The 19101-nt window shown below is 46.1% G+C and overlaps 1 pseudogene, besides 1 other annotated feature; it reads left to right on the top strand.

Moving 5' to 3' along the window:
* Nucleotides 11643-12214: an enhancer, noted in NCBI's record as "OCT4-NANOG-H3K27ac hESC enhancer chr21:37679355-37679926 (GRCh37/hg19 assembly coordinates)". NCBI's record gives its function as "activates a minimal SCP1, AML or CMV promoter by ChIP-STARR-seq in naive H9 embryonic stem cells {active_cell/tissue: H9 hESC(naive)}" and the evidence as "EXISTENCE:reporter gene assay evidence [ECO:0000049][PMID:30033119]".
* Nucleotides 15268-15385, top strand: RPS26P1 (ribosomal protein S26 pseudogene 1; annotated as a pseudogene).

Here is a 19101-nt window from a genome sequence, read left to right as displayed (position 1 = left end):
TTAGTGGGCGCCTGTAATCCCAGCTACTCGGGGGGCTGAGGCAGGAGAAGTGGGTGAACCCAGGACAAGGAGGTTGCAGTGAGCCCAGATCGCGCCACTGTACTCCAGCCTGGGCGACAGAGTGAGACTGTCTCAAAAAAATTAATTATTTTTAGAAAGAGAAATTGGCTGGGTGCAGTGGCTCATGTCTGTAATCTCAGCACTTTGAGAGGCTACATTGCGAGGGTCTCTTGAACCCAGGAGTTCGAGACGAGCCTGGGCAACACGAGGAGACCTCATCTTTACAAAAAAAAAATTGAATTAGCTGGCAGGGCGTGGTGGCTCACACCTGTAATCCCAGCACCTTGGGAGGCTAAGGCGGGCAGATCACTTGAGGTCGGGTGTTTGAGACCAGCCTGACCAACATGGCGAAACCCCATCTCTACTAAAAATACAAAATTAGCCGGGTGTGGTGGCACATGCCCGTAATCCCAGCTACTGGAGAGGCTGAGGCAGGAGAATCACTTGAACCCAGGAGGTGGAGGTTGCGGTGAGCCAAGATCACACCACTGCACTCCAGCCGGGACAACAAGAGCGAAACTCCATCTCAAAAAAAAAAAAAAATTAATTGTGCTTGGGGGCGCACGCCTGTGGTTCCAGCTACTTGGGAGGCTGAGGTGGGGAGGACTACTTGACCCTGGGAGACTGAGGCTGTAATGAGCCATGTTCTCACCACTGCACTCAGTCTGGGCAACAGAGCGAGACTCTCGTCTCAAAAAGGAAAAAGAAACAAAAGAGAATGGATTTTTTTTTCTTTTTTTTTTTTTGGAGACCGAGTCTCGCTCTGTCGCCCAGGCTGGAGTGCAGTGGAATGATCTCGGCTCACTGCAAGCTCCGCCTTCCGGGTTCACGCCATTCTCCTGCCTCAGCCTCCCGAGTAGCTGGGACTACAGGCGCCCGCCACTGCGCCCAGCTAATTTTTTGTATTTTTAGTAGAGACGGGGTTTCACCGTGGTCTCGATCTCCTGACCTCGTGATCCGCCCGCCTCTGCCTCCCAAAGTGCTGGGATTACAGGCGTGAGCCACCGCGCCTGGCCTGGATTTTTTTCTTTTTCTAGAGACTCTGTTGCCCAGGCTGGAGTACAGTGGCACAATCATAGCTCACTGCAACCTTGAACTCTTGGGTTCAAGCAATCCTCCCGCCTTAGTCTCCCAAGTAGTTGGGACAACGGGTGTGTGCCACCACACTCAGCTGATTTTTAAAATATTTTTTATAGAGAAAGGGGTCTTGCTGTGTTGCCCATGCTGGCCTTGAACTCCTGGGCTCAAGTGCTCCACCTTCTTTGGCCTCCCGAAGTGCTGGAATTATAGTCGTGAGCCACCATGCCCGATCAAAGAAGTAAGTAACCAGGATAGAGAGGAATTTCCAAAGAATTCAGAGGGACAGCATTCGAGGGAGACACAACTCTGCAATTCCAGAAAAACAACAGCAGAGGCCTAGAGATTTGGAAAGGGCTGCTCATGTTTGAGGAACTGATATGGGACAAGTGTAATTAGAGCCTGGCATTGGAGACAGAGAGTGCAGTAGGATAGTGATGAATTGATGAAGTGCAGTAGGATAGTGATGAATTGATGACATAACCTATTGTACAACAGACTGGTCTGCACAACCTGTTGTACAATAGAGTATGTCTTCAAATTTTCCTAAGGTTGAGAGGATTCTGGAAAGATAGTGTGAGGACATGGTTTTTGAGCCACCCCAAAAATACCACTACATAAATCCCTCCATAAAAACACATAGAGGGCTGGGTGTCATGTCTCAAGCCTGTAACCCCAGCACTTTGGGAGGCTGAGATGGGCGGATCACTCGAGCCCAGGAGACCAGCCTGGGCAACATGGGGAGACCCCATCTCCACAAAAAAAATAAAAAAATTAAAAAATTTTCTGGGCGTGGTGGTGCACACCTGTAGTCCTAACTGCTCGGGAGGCTGAGGTGGGAGGATCGCACTCCAGCCTGGGCAACAGAGTGAGACTCTATCTCAAAAATAAAAAAATAAAAAAAACAGCTAAAAGGCATCCTCATCAACCCCAAGACAGGAGCAAGTGGAACAACATGCACGAGTGTGTCCGTTTAAGAACAACAGAGGGGGGAGTAGCAAGATGGCCGAATAGGAACAGCTCTTGTCTGCAGCTTGTCTCCCAGTGAGACCAACGCAGAAGGCAGGTGATTGATGCATTTCCAACTGAGGTACCCGGCTCATCTCATTGAGACTGCTTAGACAGTGGGTGCAGCCCACAGAGGGTGAACAGAAGCAGGGTGGGGCGTCACCTCACCCGGGAAGTGCAAGGGGCCGGGGAACTCCCTCCTCTACCCAAGGGAAGCTGGGAGGAACTGTGCCTTGAGGAACGGTGCACTCCAGCCCAGATACTACTACACTTTTCCCACAGTCTTCACAACCTGCACACCAGGAGACTCCCCTGGGTGCCTACACCACCAGGACCCTGGGTTTCAAGCACAAAATTGGGTGGCCATTTGAGCAGACACTGAGCTAGCTGCAGTTTTTTTTCATACCCCAGTGACGCCTGGAATGCCAGTGAGACAGAACCGTTCACTCCCCTGGAAAGGGGGCTGAAGCCAGGGAACCAAGTGGTCTAGCTCAACGGATCCCAACCCCACAGAGCCCAGCAAGCTAAGATCCACTGGCCTGAAATTCTCACTGCCAGCACAGCAATCTGAAGTCGACCTGGGACGCTTAAGCTTAGTGAAGGGTGGGGGCATCCACCATTACTGAAGCTTGAGTAGGCAGTTTTCCCCTCACAGTGTAAACAAAACTGCAGGGAAGTTCGAACTGGTGGGGAGCCCACTGCAGCTCAGCAAAGCCTCCATAGCCAGACTGCCTCTCTAGATTCCTCCTCTCTGGGCAGGGCATTTCTGAAAGAAAGGCAGCAACCCCAGTCAGGGGCTTATAGATAAAACTCCCATCTCCCTGGGACAGAACACCTGGGGGAAGGGGTGGCTGTGGGTGCAGCTTCGGCGGAATTAAACATCCCTGCCTGCCAGCTCTGAAGAGAGCAGCAGATCTCCCAGCACAGTGCTTGAGCTCTGCTAAGGGACAGACTGCCTCCTCAAGTGGGTCCCTGACCCTTCTGCCACCTGACTAGGAGACACCTCCCACCAGGGATTGACAGACACCTCATACAGGAGAGCTCCCACTGGCATCTGGTGGGTGCCCCTCTGGGACGAAGCTTCCAGAGGAAGGAACAGGCAGCAATCTTTGCTGTTCTGCAACCTCTGCTGGTGATACCCAGGCAAACAGGGTCTGGAGTGGACCTCCAGCAAACTCCAGCAGACCTGCAGCAGAGAGGCCTGACTATTAGAAGGAAAACTAACAAACAGAAAGCAATAGCATAAACATAAACAAGAAGGACGTCCACACAGACACCCCATCTGAAGGTCAGCAACATCAAAGACCAAAGGTAGATAAATCCACGAAGATGAGGAGAAACCAGCGCAAAAAAGGCTGAAAATTCCAAAAACCAGAACGCCTCTTCTCCTCCAAAGGATCACAGTTCCTTGCCAGCAAGGGAATAAAACTGGATGGAGAATGACTTTGACAAATTAACAGAAGTAGGCTTCAAAAGGTGGGTAATGACAAACTCCTCTGAGCTAAAGGAGCATGTTCTAACCCAATGCAAGGAAGCTAAGAACCTTGAAAAAGGTTAGATGAATTGCTAACTAGAAAACCCAGTTTAGAGAAGAACATGCATGACCTGATGGAGCTGAAAAACACAGCACAAGAACTTCGTGAAGCATACATAAGTATCACTAGTCAAATCAATCAAGCGGAAGAAAGGATATCATAGATTGAAGATCAACATAATGAAATAAAGCGTGAAGACAAGATTAGAGAAAAAAGAATGAAAAGGAACGAACAAAGCCTCCAAGAAATATGGGGCTATGTGAAAAGATCAAACCTACGTTTGATTGGTGTACCTGAAAATGATGGGGAGAATGGAACCAAGTTGGAAAATACTCTTCAGGATATTATCCAGGAGGACTTCCTCAACCTAGCAAGGCAGGCCAACATTCAAATTCAGGAAATACAGAGAACACCACAAAGATACTCCTTAAGAAGAGCAACCCCAAGACACATAATCGTTAGTTTCACCAAGGTTGAAATGAAGGAAAAAATGTTAAGGGCAGCCAGAGAGAAAGGTCGGGTTACCCACAAAGGGAAGCCCATCAGACTAAGAGTGAATCTCTCTACAGAAACTCTACAAGCCAGAAGAGAGTGGGGGCCAATATTCAACAATCTTAAAGAAAAGAATTTTCAACCCAGAATTTCATATCCAGCCAAACTAAGCTTCATAAGCAAAGGAAAAACAAAATCCTTTACAGACAAGCAAATGCTGAGATTTTGTCACCACTAGGCCTGCCTTACAAGAGCTCCTGAAGGAGCTAATTTAAATTTCATATGGAATCAAAAAAGAGCCCATATAGCCAAGACAATCCTAAGCAAAAAGAACAAAGCTGGAGGCATTATGCTACCTGACTTCAAACTATATTACAGGGTTACAGTAACCAAAACAGCATGGTACTGGTACCAAAACAGACAGATAGACCAATGGAACAGAACAAAGGCCTCAGAAATAATGCCACACATCTACAACCATCTGAACTTTGACAAACCTGATAAAAACAAGCGATGGGGAAAGGATTCCCTATTCAATAAATGGTATTGGGAGAACTGGCTAGCCATATGCAGAAAACTGAAACTGGATCCCTTCCTTACACCTTATATAAAAATTAACTCAAGATGGATTAAAGACTTAAATGCAACACCTAAAACCATAAAAACCCTAGAAGAAAACCTAGGCAATACCATTCAGGACATAGGCATGGGCAAAGAATTCATGACTAAAACACCAAAAGCAATGGCAACAAAAGTCAAAATTGACAAATGTAATTAAACTAAAGAGCTTCTGCACAGCAAAAGAAACTATCATCAGAGTGAACAGGCAACCTACAGAATGGGAGAAAAGTTTTGCAATCTATCCATCTGACAAAAAGCTAACATCCAGAATCTACAAAGAACTTAAACAAATTTACAAGAAAAAAAAACCCATCAAAAAGTGGGTGAAGGATATGAACAGACACTTCTCAAAAGAAGATATTTATGCGGCCAACAAACATATGAAAAAAAGCTCATCATCACCAGTTATTAGAGAAATGCAAATCAAAACCACAATGAGATACCATATCATGCCAGTTAGAATGGCAATCATTAAAAAGTCTGGAAACAAGAGATGCTAGAGAGGATGTGGAAAATAGGGAATGCTTTTACACTGTTGATGGGAGTATAAATTAGTTCAACCATTGTGGAAGACATTGTGGCGATTCCTCAAAGATCTAGAACCAGAAATACCATTTGACCCAGCAATCGCATTACTGGGTATTATATACCCAAAGGATTATACATCATTCTACTATAAAAACACATGCACACATATGTTTATTGCAGTGCTGTTCACAATAGTAAAGACTTGAAACCAACCCAAATGCCCATCAATGATAGACTGGATAAAGAAAATGTGGCACATATACATCATGGAATACTATGCAGCCATAAAAAAGGATGAGTGCATGTCCTTTGCAGGGACATGGACGAAGCCAGAAACCATCATTCTCAGCAAACTAACACAGGAACAGAAAACCAAACACTGCATGTTCTCACTCATAAGTGGGAGTAGAATAATGAGAACACTTGGACACAGGGAGGGGAACATCACACACCAGGGCCTATCGGGGGGTGGGGGCTAGAGGAGGAATAGCATTAGGACAAATACCTAATGTAGATGACAGGTTGATGGGTGCAGCAAGCCACCATGGCACATGTATACCTATGTAACAAACCTGCATGTTCTGCACATGTATCACAGAACCTAAAGTATATTAAAAAAAAAAAAAAAAAGAACAACAGCAAGATGGCGCCTATACCAATGAATGAGAACCACCAGACTGTAGCTAGGACTCAGGGAGCAGGAGCAGTCTGGCCCACTCAGATTCTGAAAAGTAAACCAACCAGCGTGCCTTTCCAGGACAAAGCCCCACATGGGATGAAAGTACTGGGAAGAAAACCAACCAAGCAGCAGGGAATCAATAGGGTCAAAGGAAAAACGACGTCGATAAATGTCAGGAAAACTAATTTAATACAAAAATGAGATATGGGCTGGGCAAGGTGGCTCACGCTTGTAATCCCAGCAGTTTGGCAGGCCGAGGTGGGTGGATCACGAGGTCAGGAGATCGAGACCATCCTGGCTAACACGGTGAAACCCCATCTCTACTAATAATACAAAAAATTAGCCGGTTATGGTGGCAGGCGCCTGTAGTCCCAGCTACTCGGGAGGCTGAGGCAGGAGAATGGCATGAACCCAGGAGGCAGAGCTTGCAGTGAGCCGAGATTGCGCCACTGGACTCCAGCCTGGGTGACAGAGTGAGACTCCGTCTCAAAAAAATAAAAAAAAAAACACAACAACAACAACAAAAATTAGCCAGGCGTGGTGGTGGACACCTGTAATCCCAGCTACTCGGGAGGCTGAGGCAAGAGAATCGCTTGAACCCGGGAGGCAGCAGTTGCAGTGAGCCGAAGATGGTGTCATTGCACTCCAACCTGGGCAACAGAGCAAGACTGACTAAAAAAAATAATAATAAAAAATAAAAATAAGGTATGATTTATTTGTTCTTTCTCCACTTCCACTGCTCGATGTGACTTCTCTTTAAATAAAATGAACTATATGGCCAGGTGCCATAATACATGTCTGTAATCCCAGCACTTTGGGAGGCTGAGGTGGGAGGATTGCTTGAGTCTGGGAGTTCAAGATCCGCCTGGGTAACAAAGCAAGACCCTCCTCTTTGCCAAAATTTAAAAAAAAAAATGGCCTGGCACAGTGGCTCACGCCTGTAATCCCAGCACTCTGGGAGGCCAAGGCAGGCGGATCACTTGCAGTCAGGAGTTTGAAACCAGCCTGGCCAACATGGTGAAACTCGGTCTCTACTAAAAATATGTATTTTTTAAATTGGGTCAGACGCAGTGGCTCACGTCTGTAATCCCAGCACTTTGGGAGGCCAAGGCGGGCAGATCACCTGAGGTTAGGAGTTTGAGACCAGCCTGACCAACATGGAGAAACCCTGTCTCTACTAAACATACAAAATTAGGCGGTCATGGTGGCGCATGCCTGTAATCCCAGCTACTCTGGAGGCTGAGGCAGGAGGATCACTTGAACCTAGGTGGCAGAGGTTGCGGTGAGCTGAGATCATGACATTCATTGCACTCCAGCCTGGGCAACAAGAGTGAAACTCTGTCTCAAAAAAAGAAAAAAATTAGTTGGGCGTGGTGGTGAGTACCTGTAATCCCAGCACTTTGGGAGGCCGAGGCCGATGTATCACCTGAGGTCAGGAGTTCGAGACCAGCCTGGTAAACATGGTATCTCTACTAAAAACACAAAAATTAGCTGGGTGTGGTGGAAACATGTCTGTAATCCCAGCTCCTCGGGAGGCTGAGGCACAAGAATCACTTGAATCCGGAGGCAGAGGTTGCATTGAGCTGAGATCATGCCACTGCACTGTAGCCTGGACGACAGAGTAAGACTCTGTCTCAGAAAAAAAAAAAAAAAGCCAGGCACAGTGGCTCACACCTGTAATCCCAGAACTTTGGGAGGCTGAGGAGGGCAGATCAAAAGGTCAGGAGTTCGAGACCAGCCTGGCCAACATGGTGAAACCCCGTCTCTACTAAAAATACAAAAAATTAGCCAGGCATGGTGGCAGGCACCTGTAATCCCAGCTACTCGGGAGGCTGAGGCGGGAGAATCGCTTGAACCCAGGAGGCGGAGATTTCAGTGAGCTGAGATGGCGCCACTGCACTCCAGCCTGGGCAACAGAAGGAGACTCCGTCTCAAAAACAACAACAACAACAAAAAAAAACAGGCACAGTTGGCTGGGTGCAATGGCTCACACCCTTAATCCCAAGACTTTGGAAGGCCAAGGCTGGTGAATTGCTTGAGCCTAGTAGTTTGAGACCAGCCTATGCAACAACATAGTAAGACTCCATCTCTATTTAAAAAAAAAAAAAGAACACAGTAAATGTCTGAAGAAACTGACCTAGAACCACCAATACCAAGGCTTACTTTAGTAAAATTATTGGACTTTAATTTCTTATAAATCCAGGCAAAATAACCAAGTTATTTGTAAAGGAAAAAAGATCAAACTATCATCAAACTTTGCCAGCAGTGCTTTAGGCCAAAAGAAAACTCAATAGTATATATTTTTTAATAAACTGAAGGAAAGAACATATGTGCCAAGAATTTTATAATTAGCCAAAGTGAGATTCAAGATAAAGGCCACAAACTGTCATCAATATGCAATAACTCAAGAAATATTGTTCTCATGATTTCTTTTTTAGGAATCTTCCAAAGAACAAACATTAGACAAACAAAATGTCTGTCTATATTAACATAAGATGATGATGAATTTTAAATACATATTTACTTGTAGGAAGAAATCAAAATCAGGGATGTAAAAGATGTAATGGGCCAGGCGCGGTGGCTCACACCCACAATCCTAGCACTTTGGGAGGCCGAGGTGGGCATATCACTTGGGACCAGGAGTTCAACGTGGTGTATTTTTTCTCTACAAAAAAAATACAAAAATCAGCCAGGTGTGGTGGCAGGTGCCTGTAGTCCCAGCTACTCAGGAGGCTGAGGCAGGAGAATCGCTTGAACCTGGGAGGCAGAGGTTGCAGTGAGCCAAGATCACGCCACTGCACTCCAGCCGGGGTGAAAGAGCAAGACTCTGTCTCAAAAAAAAAAAAAGACATACTGTATAAACATAATGTATAGAGGGTCAAGTAAATACCCAGCCAGCAGTTTTGACTGTGAACTGGAGGCATCAAGGCTTATGGGGACTTCCTGACCACAGCAGTTGCTCAGCCACGCACCTGTGCTGCTCATATCAGACAAATTCAAATTTACGTGTAAGTCTAAAGAACAAAAAGTCAAATCTGAATTTTCTGTGAATCAGAAATATCACTATGAATTCATGAGGGTTTTTCTGGGGGTGGGGTTGTTTTTTGAAACGGAGTCTCACTCTGTCGCCGACGCTGGAGTGCAGTGGCACGATCACAGCTCACTGCTGCATCAACCTCCTATGCTTAAGTGATCCTCTCACCTCTCAGCCTCCCAAGTAGCTGGGACTACAGGGTGCTACCACACCCAGCTTATTTTTGTATGTTTTTTTGTTTGTTTGTTTGTTTTGTAGAGATGGGATTTTGCCATGTTGCCTAGGCTGGTTTCAAACTCCTGGGCTCAAGCGATCCACCCGCCTCAACCTCCTTAAGTGCTGGGATTACAGGCGTGAGCCACCGGGTCCCCTCTAGCACTTTAAGAGGCTGAAGCAGGTGGATTGCTTGAGCCTAGGAGTTTGAGACCAGCCTGGGCAACATAGCAAGACCTTGTCTCTACAAAAATAAAAAAAAAATTAGCTGGGTGTGGTTGTGTGCACCTATGGTCCCAGCTACTTGGGAGGGAGAGGTGGGAAGACTGATTGAGCCCGGGAGGTCAACACTGCACTGAGCCCTGATTGTGCCACTGCACTCCGGTCTGGGTGAAAAAGGGAGACCCGGCCGGGCGCGGTGGCTCACGCCTATAATCCCAGCACTTTGGAAGGCGGAAGCGGATGGATCACGAGGTCAGGAGATGGAGACCATCCTGGCTAACACGGTGAAACCCTGTCTCTACTAAAACATACAAAAAATTAGCCGGGCGTGGTGGCGGGCGCCAGTAGTCGCAGCTACTCGAGAGGCTGAGGCAGGACAATGGCGTGAACCCGGGAGGCGGAGCTTGCAGTGAGCGGAGATCGCGCCACTGCACTCCAGCCTGGGCGCCAGAGCGAGACTCCGTCTCAAAAAAAAAAAAAAAAAAAGGGAGGTCCTGTCTCAAGAAAAAAAAAAAAGTGTGTTTTCTAGCTCTTAGCTCTTCACTGAAAAGGCCTAGAAACAATGAGCAACCTAGCAGCAATGAGCACATATAGAATTAGGCTTGTAGGCTGGGCGCGGTGGCTCACGCCTGTAATCCCAGCACTTTGGGAGGCTGAAGCAGGTGGATCTCCTGAGGTCAGGAGTTCGAGACCACACTGGCCAACATGGCGAAACCCTGTCTCTACTAAAAATACAAAAAATTAGCCGGGCATGGTGGCGGGTGCCTGTAATCCCAGCTACTTTGGAGGCTGAGCCAGGAGAACTGCTTGAACCTGAGAGGTGGAGGCTGCGGTGAGCTGAGATTGCGCCACTGCACTCCAGCCTGGGCGACAGAACGAGATTCTGTCTCAAAAAATAAATAAATAAATAAATAAATAAATAAATAAAAGGAATTAGGATTGTAATCTCAAAATACCATTTTTCTACTTCTCCCCGCCTCCCCACCCCGGAATCAAAAAAGAACAAGGCATCTAAGATGACTGATTCCAAGTCTGCCAAGAGAATCCTGGAAACTCTTGTCACACCAGATAGCAAAGACACTATTAAAGACCACCGCCATTGTGTCAAACAGATTGAGAGCCAATTTGAACAGACAGTTTTGTTAGGTTTCTCAAAAGACCACATTTCAACAAATTTAGTTTAATGATATAATTGGCTTTGTTTGTGAGGCGTGAATGGGGAGCATCTCATCTAAAAACACAGGTGCTCTGTTGGGCACGGCAGAACAGTCGGGTTTGGAAGGTAACATGAGCAGGAACAAGAAAACAGCAAATACAAAAAGTAGGTTGATTAGTATCTGGTTACTTCAGGTTACTTTCCTTGTAAGGGCAAACAGAGGGGACTTCCTTATTATGCCGGCTAAAACTGGCCCATTTGCATCAAATGAACAACTTAGTTTTGCTTGGTGACGTGCAACTTTGGCATGAGTGACTCCATTTTTGTTTTAGTCTGTTGGGTCTAGTGCAAGTGTTCGGTCCAAATAAATGGCTTCCCATATATTTTATTTATTTACTTATTTTTATTTATTTATTTATTTATTTATTTTGAGATGGAGTCTTGTTCTGTTGCCCAGGCTGGAGTGCAGTGGCACCATCTTGGCTCACTGCAACCTCCACCACCTGGGTTCAAAGGATTCTCCTGCCTCAGCCTCCTGAGTAGCTGGGACTACAGATGCATATCACCACACCTGGCTAATTTTTGTAGTTTTAGTAGGGATGGGGTTTTGCCATGTTAGCCGGGTTGGTCTTGAAATCCTGACCTCAGGTGATCTTCCCGCCTCAGTCTCCCAAAGTGTTGTCATTACAGGCATAAGCCACCTCGCCCACCCCATAGACTTTATTTAATAGGCAGAATAATGACCCCCAAAGATAGCCACATCCTAATCTCTGGAACCTGTGAATGTAAACATATATGGCAAAAGGGAATTGTAACTGCCCAACGGGTTCATTTTGCCAACTGCCCAGATAGAGCCGATTTATCAAGACAGAGGGATTGCAATAGAGAAAGGGTTTAATTCACACAGAGCTGACTGAATGGAGTTTTATTGTTACCCAAATTCAGTCTCCCCAAAAGTTGTGAGGACTAAGCACTGATTTTTTTTTTTTTTTTTGAGAGGGAGTCTCGCTCTGTTGCCCAGGCCAGAGTGCAGCTTACTGCAAACTCCGCCTCCCAGGTTCAAGCAATTCTCCTGCCTCAGCTTCCTGAGTAGCTGGGATTACAGGCACACGCCACCAGGCCCAGCTGATTTTTGTAATTTTAGTAGAGATAAGGTTTTGCCATGTTGGCCAGGCTGGTCTTGGAACTCCTGACCTCAGGTGATCTGCCCGCCTTGGACTCCCAAACTGTTGGGATTACAGGCGTGAGCCACCAAGCCCAGCTTAAAATGCTAATGTTTTTCTTATCGTGATGAAATTCCTATCTAAGGGATCTGGGGATTCATGCCCTACAAACCATAAATTCTCATCAGACAGGTTTTACTTAACCCTATATATTGTGACTTACTTTCCAATCTGATTCTGGCATAACATTAGGTGACAAAGAAGAAAAATTTTAACCCAAAACATGTTTCTTTGCCATATTTTGTAATGGCCCTGAAAAGCCGTCCTTTGTGGAGAGAAATTTGCATCTGTAAAGAATCTCTATTAACATAGCTGGATCTCTTTCTTCCACGCCCTCCCAATCTTGAAAAGATTGAGACTCTAGCACCTTTTAAAGGTCTGAATAGGAAACATTTGTCATCTTTGTCTCTAAGGGCAGCCAGTATAAAGACTTCAAAAGAACCTTGGTCTCCACAATCTTTTTTTCTTTTTCTTTTTTTTTTTTTTGAGATGGAGCCTCGCTCTGTTGACCAGGCTGGAGTGCAGTGAGGCAATCTCAGCTCACTGCAACCTCCACCTGCTGGGTTCAAGCGATTCTCCCGCCTCAGCCTCCCGAGTAGCTGGGACTATAGACGCCCACCACCACGCCTGGCTTTTTTTTTTTTTTTTGTATTTTTAGTAGAGATGAGATTTCACCATGTTGACCAGGCTGGTCTCAAACTCCTGACCTCAAGTGATCCACCCACCTTGGCCTCCTAAAGTGCTGGGATTACAGGCGTGAGCCCCCACACCCAGTCTCCACAATATTTTATCTTAACCTGAACATTCCCTTTCTGTTGATCCCAGGTCTTTAGACAAACTCAACCAATTGTCAACCAGAAAATGTTTAAATTTACCTACAGCCTCAAACCCCTGCCCACCACCCACCCCCCGCCAACTTTGAGTTGTCCTGCCTTTCTGGACCAAATCAATGTATTTCTTTTTTTTGAGATAGAGTTTCGCTCTTGCCGGGATCTCAGTTCACTGCAACCTCTGCCTCCTGGGTTCAAGAGATTCTCCAGCCTCAGCCTCCTGAGTTTGCCCGGCTAATTGTTGTATTTTTAGTAGAGATGGGGTTTTACCCTATTGGCCAGGCTGGTCTCGAACTCCTGACCTCAGGTGTTCCACCCACCTTGGACTCCCAAAGTGCTAAGATTATAGGCGTGAGCCACCGCGACCAGCTGACCAATGTATTTCTCAAATGTATTTGATTGATTTCTCATGCCTTCCTAAAATGTGCCCCAACCACCTTGGGCGCATGTTCTCAGGACCTCCTGAGCCTGAGGCCTGTGTCATGGGCCAGGATCACTTGCATTTGGCTCAGAATAAATCTCTTCACATATTTTACAGAGTTTGATTCTTTTCGTCGACAGTTGAAAATTTGGAGACTGGGTGTTTTTGTTTTTTGAGACAGAGTCTTGCGCTATCATCTGGGCTGGAGTGCAGTGGCGCGATCTCAGCTCACTGCAACCTCCGCCTGGAGACTGGGGTTTTTTAAGGATAAGTTGGTGGATGGGGGCCAGGAAGTGGGGAGTGCTGGTTAGTCAGGTTGAAGATGAAATATAGGGGGTTGAAGCCATCCTCTTGTGCAGAGTTGGCTCCTGGGTGGGGGCAACAAGACCAAATGAGCCAATTTATCTTTTTTTTTTTTTTGAGACAGAGTCCCATTCTGTTGCCCAGGCTGGAGTGCAGTGGTGTGATCTCAGCTCTCTGCAACCTCTGTCTCCCAGGCGATTCTCTTGCCTCAGCATCCCCAGTAGCTGGGATTACAGGCGTGTGCTACAACACCCAGCTAATTTATTTATTATTATCATTTTTTTAGACAGAATCTCGCTCTGTCACCCAGGCTGGAAGGCAATGGCACAATCTCAGCTCACTGTAACCTTTGCCTCCCGGGTTCAAGTGATTCTCCTGACTCAGCCTCCCAAATAGCTGGGACTACTAGCTCAAACCACTATGCCCAGCTAATTTTTTGTATTTTTAGTACCAACGGGGTTTCGCCATGTTGGCCAGGCTGGTCTCAAACTCCTGACCTCAGGTGATCTGCCTGCCTTGGCCTCCCAAAGTGCTGGGATTATAGGCATGAGCCAACAGAAGATTATTTGACTGCTGAAGCAGAGAGAGACGAGAAGATGCTGTGCTTCTAGCTTTCGAAATGGAGAAGGGGGCAAGGAATGTAGGTAATGCAGCTCTGAAAGCTAGAAAGGCAAGAGACTACATCCTAGAGCCCCTAGGGCCTCTAGAGGGATCGAGACCCTGTAGACACCTTGGTTTCAGCCTAGTGAAACTCATTTTGGACGTCTGCTCTCAGAACTGGAAGAGAATACATTTCTGTAATCTTTTTTTTTTTTTTGAAACGGAGTCTCACTCTGTCACCCAGGCTGGAGTACAGTGGCATGATCTCGGCTCACTACAACCTCCGCCTCCCAGGTTCAAGCAATTCTCCTGCCTCTGCCTCCTGAGTAGCTGGGATTGCAGGCACCCGCCACTATGCCCAGCTAATTTTTTGTATTTTTAGTAGAGACAGGGTTTCACCATGATGGCCAGGCTGGTCTCAAACTCCTGACCTTGTGATTCACCCGCCTTGGCCTCCCAAAGTGTTGGAATTACAGGTGTGAGCCACCGAGCCCGGACTTCTGTAGTCTTAAACCACTAAATTTGCAGTAATCTGTTACAGCAGCAATAGGAATAGACAATAGTCTATCCATGTCTAAGCAAATACATACCTATACATACAAATTCTTGCCCGTCCCACTTCCCCACTTTTTTTTTACACAATAGTAACATACTGTGAAGTTAATTCTACATTCCCAAGTCTTACTCATATAAGAGAAGCAGAAGGCAATCAAGTAGAGGTTAAACTTATAAGAGGTTGGTATAAAAGGATTTTTTTAAATTATAAAAACTACTCTGGGGGTGGTGGCTCATGCCTGTAATCCTGCCACTTTGGGAGGCTTAGATGGGAGGATCACTTGATTCCAGGAGTTTGAGAGCAGCCTGGGCAACATAGTGAAACCCCGTCTCTACAGAAAGTTACAAAAAATCAGCCGGGTGTGGTGGTGCACGCCTGTGGCCCCAGCTACTTGGGAGGTTGAGGTAGGAGGATCGATTAAGGCAGAGAGGTTGTGGCTCCAGTGAGCCTTGATCCTGCCACTGCACTCCAGCCTGGGCAACGGGGTGAGACCCTGTCTCAAAAACAAACAAACAAACAAACAAAACAACATAAAAAACAAAAACAACAAACAAACAAAAAACAAACCAAAAAATCCCTATTTGCTCTCTTGGGTCCTCACCTCCAAGTTGACAAAGATAAGGACTTTGGGAGGCTGAGGCGGCGGATCACTTGAGGTCAGGAGTTTCAGACTAGCCTGGCCAACATGGTGAAACCCCGCCTCTACTAAAGATACAAAGGAAAGGAATAATGGTCCTGCCAAAAAGGGCTGCGGCCACACGCAGCCGATTCACTGCACAAACTGTGCCCCATGGGTGCCAAAAGACAAGGCTATTAAGAAGTTCCTCTGGCCAGTGCTCACACCTGTAATCCCAGCACTTTGGGAGGCCGAGGCAGGTGGATCACCAGAGGTCAGGAGTTCAAGACCAGCCTGGCCAACATGGTGAAACCCCGTCTCTACTAAAACTACAAAAACTACCCGGGCATGGTGGTGCATGCCTATAACCCTAGCTACTCAGGAGGCTGAGGCAGGAGAATTGCTTGAACCTGGGAGGCAGAGGTTGCAGTGAGCCAAGATCGCGCCACTGCTCTCCAGTCTCCAGAGCGAGGCTCCATCTCAGAAAAAAAAAAAAAAAAAAGAGCTTCCTCACAGTATTTTGCATCTTCATAATATTCCATTAAATTAATGTGTCACAATTTATTTAGCCAGTCTCCTACTGGAGAACACGGAGTTTGTCTCCAAACCTATGCTACTATCAGTACTACTTTATATTTTATTTATTTATTTATTTTGAGACAGGGTCTCACTCTGTCGCCCAGGTTGGAGTACAGGGGCACGATCTCAGCTCACTGCAACCTCCAACCCCCTGGGTTCAGAGATTCTCCTGCCTCAGCCTCCTGAATAGCTGGGATTACAGGGACATGCCACCATGTCTGGCTAATTTTTGTATTTTTGGTATATACGGGGTTCCACCACGTTGGCCAGGCTGGTCTTGAACTCCTGACTGACTTCAGGTGATCCACCTGCCTCGGCCTTCCAAAGTGTTGGGATTACAGGCAGGCATGAGCCACCGCACCTGGCCAGTACTACTTTAATGAATAACTTGTACATAAGTCATTTTGTGCATATGCACATATATCAGATAAATTCCTGGAAATAGATTTTCTGGGTCAAAAGGTACATGCATTTGTAATTTTGATAGAAATTGCCAAATTTCCTCCAGAGAGGTTGAACCAATTTATATTCCTACCTGCAATATATGGAGTATCCTGTTTTCCCTTATTGATACCTGCAAATGATCAGTGAATAATATCTCAGAACAATTTTTATTTTTTTCTAACATTGTAAATTTTGGCATATTTTACATGTGTAAAGGCCAATTGTATTTTTTGGTAAACTCCCTACTCATATCCATTGCCCATTTTTCTTTTCTTTTTTTTTTTTTTTTTTTTTTGGTAGGCATTCTTCAAGTATTGGAGAAATAAGCACTTTGTGACAGGAGTCTGAAATATTTTTCTCAGTTTGCCATTTATCTTTTACCTTGCTGGTGATATTGATTATGCAGATTTTTTTTTTTCTTTTTGAGACAGGGTCTTACTCTGTTGCCCAGGCTAGAGTGCAATGGCTCGATCATAAGTCACCTCAGCCTTGAACTCCTGGGCTCAAGTTATCTTTCTGCCTCAGCCTCCTGAGTAGCTGGGACTATAGGTTTGTGCAGCCATGCCCAGCTGATTTTCTGACTTTTTGTACAGATGTGGTCTTGCTACGTTGCCAAGGTTTGTCTCAAACTCCTGGTCTCAATCATCTTCCTGTTTCAGCCTCCTGAGTAAGTGGGACTACAGGTGTGTCATGGTGCCTGCCTAGCTTCATATGTACATATTGTAAAAAGTAAAGTAGAGGTTCCTCTTCAAAGACTTTCCTCCCCATTTAATTAGGAATAAATAGTAACTTCTCTTAGAAGCAAAATTTATTCAAAGACCTGTGCTAACATTCTTAAATATCTGCTAGCCATGATAATCAATGTACTTTAAGTTCTTAGCTCCCACAATTTAGCCTAAATATTTGCCCTGGCATGCTTATACTGGTCCAAGCAAGCATTAGGTCATAGCCTGTTCCTCTTCCTTATTTGAAGGTGTTTTTACCTTTCTCAGCATTCCACAAATTACTTCCTCATTTCTTTTCTTGCACTGTTGCCCAGGCTGGAGTGCAGTGGCGCGATCTCAGCTCACTGCAAGCTCTGCCTCCCAGGTTCACATCATTCTCCTGCCTCAGCCTCCCAAGTAGCTGGGATTACAGGTGCCTGCCACCATGCCCGGCTAATTTTTTTTGTATTTTGAGTAGAGACGGGGTTTCACCATGTTAGCCAGGATGGTCTCGATCTCCTGACCTCGTGATATGCCCGCCTCGGCCTCCCAAAGTGCAGGGATTACAGGTGTGAGCCACTGCACCCGGCCTTCCTCCTTCCTTTGTTCTCCTCCACCTTTTGCCTCTTTTAAAAAGTTCTAAGTTGTTAGCCAATCGGGACAAATACAGAATGTGAGGTCCCGTTCCAGCCAATGGAAACCGGACACAGCAGTATAAATGACCCTGTCTCCTTTGTTTGGTGTACTCTCATGGCAAAACTGCTGGCGAGTGTACCTTTTCTGCAGGAAGTAAAAATGGCCTTGCTGAGTAAATTAAATGTATGTTCAAGTGCTATTTCTTTATGGCACCAGGGAACAAGCATTTCAAATAGTATTAGGCCAATCATCGTCTTCAGCTGGCCACAAGAGCTACCCCTCCCAAAACATTAAACAACTTGTCTGTTTCCTGACACAATTTATTTTATTTATTTATTTATTTATTTTTGAGACAGAGTCTCGCTTTGTCACCCAGGCTGGAGTGCAGTAGTGTGACCTAGGCTTATTGCAGCCTCTGCCCCGCTGGGTTCAAGCGATTTTCCTGCCTCATCCTCCCAAGTAGCTAGGATTACAGGCACACACCACCACATCTGGCTAATTTTTGTACTTTTTGTAGAGACAGGGTTTCACCACGTAGGCCAGGCTGGTCTCGAACTCCTGACCTCAAGTGATCTCTCCCAAAGTATAGGGATTACAGGCGTGAGCCACCATATCCGGGCATGAAATTTAGATTGTTATCTTGGATAAGACGGAAACAAACAAAACATAATAGGAGGAGAAACGTGGAACACTATTCAATTGAGTCCTTAGTTAACACAGTACCATTCATATAACACAAAGAGCTGCAAGAAGTACAGCTGTGCACCGAGTCCTGTTTGGTTGTCAAAGGGTCCGGCGAGAATTATGGACAAGCCTAGTGAAGACGGCATGGGTGGTCTTCACAGAGATGCTTTAGGGGGGTTGGACTGAAGCTGGGTAGTCCTGGAACCAGCAGGGAAGAGGTAAAAAGCATGTCAGGGGGCTGGGTGTGGTGGCTCACACCTGTAATCCCAGCACTTTAGGAGTCTGAGGTGGGAGGTTTGCTTGAGCCCAGGAATTTGAGACCAGCCTGGTCAACATAGGGAGATCCAGTCTCTTCAAAAAATAAAAAACAGGCCAGGTGCAGTGGCTCATGCCTGTAATCCCAGCACTTTGGGAGGCCGAGGTGGGCAGATCACCTGAGGTCAGGAATTTGAGACCAGCCTGAACAATATGGTGAAATCTTGTCTCTACTAAAAATACAAAAATTAGCTGGTTGTGGTGGTGGATGCCTGTAACCCCAGCTACTCTGGGGGCTGAGGCAGGAGAATTGTTGAACCCAGAGGCAGAGGTTGCAGTGAGCCAAGATTGAGCCACTGCACTCCAACCTGGGCAACAGAGCCAGACTCCATCTCAAAAATAAAATAAAATAAAATAAAAATAAAAAACATTAGCTGGGCATGGTGGCACACACCTGTGGTCCCAGTTACACAGGAGGCTGAACCTGGGAGGTCGAGGCTGCAGTGGGCCATGATCACGCCACTGCACTTCAGCCTGGGCAACAAAGCCAAAGTGAGACCTTGTCTCAAAAGAAAAAAAAAAAAAGAGAGAGCCAGTCGTGGCGGCTCACGCCTGTAATCCCAGC

This window comes from Homo sapiens, chromosome 21, assembly GCF_000001405.40.
Source record: "Homo sapiens chromosome 21, GRCh38.p14 Primary Assembly".
NCBI classification, from domain to species: domain Eukaryota; kingdom Metazoa; phylum Chordata; class Mammalia; order Primates; family Hominidae; genus Homo; species Homo sapiens.
The sequence above is the reverse complement of the archived record's forward strand: the minus strand, read 5'-3'. Positions and strand labels throughout refer to the sequence as shown.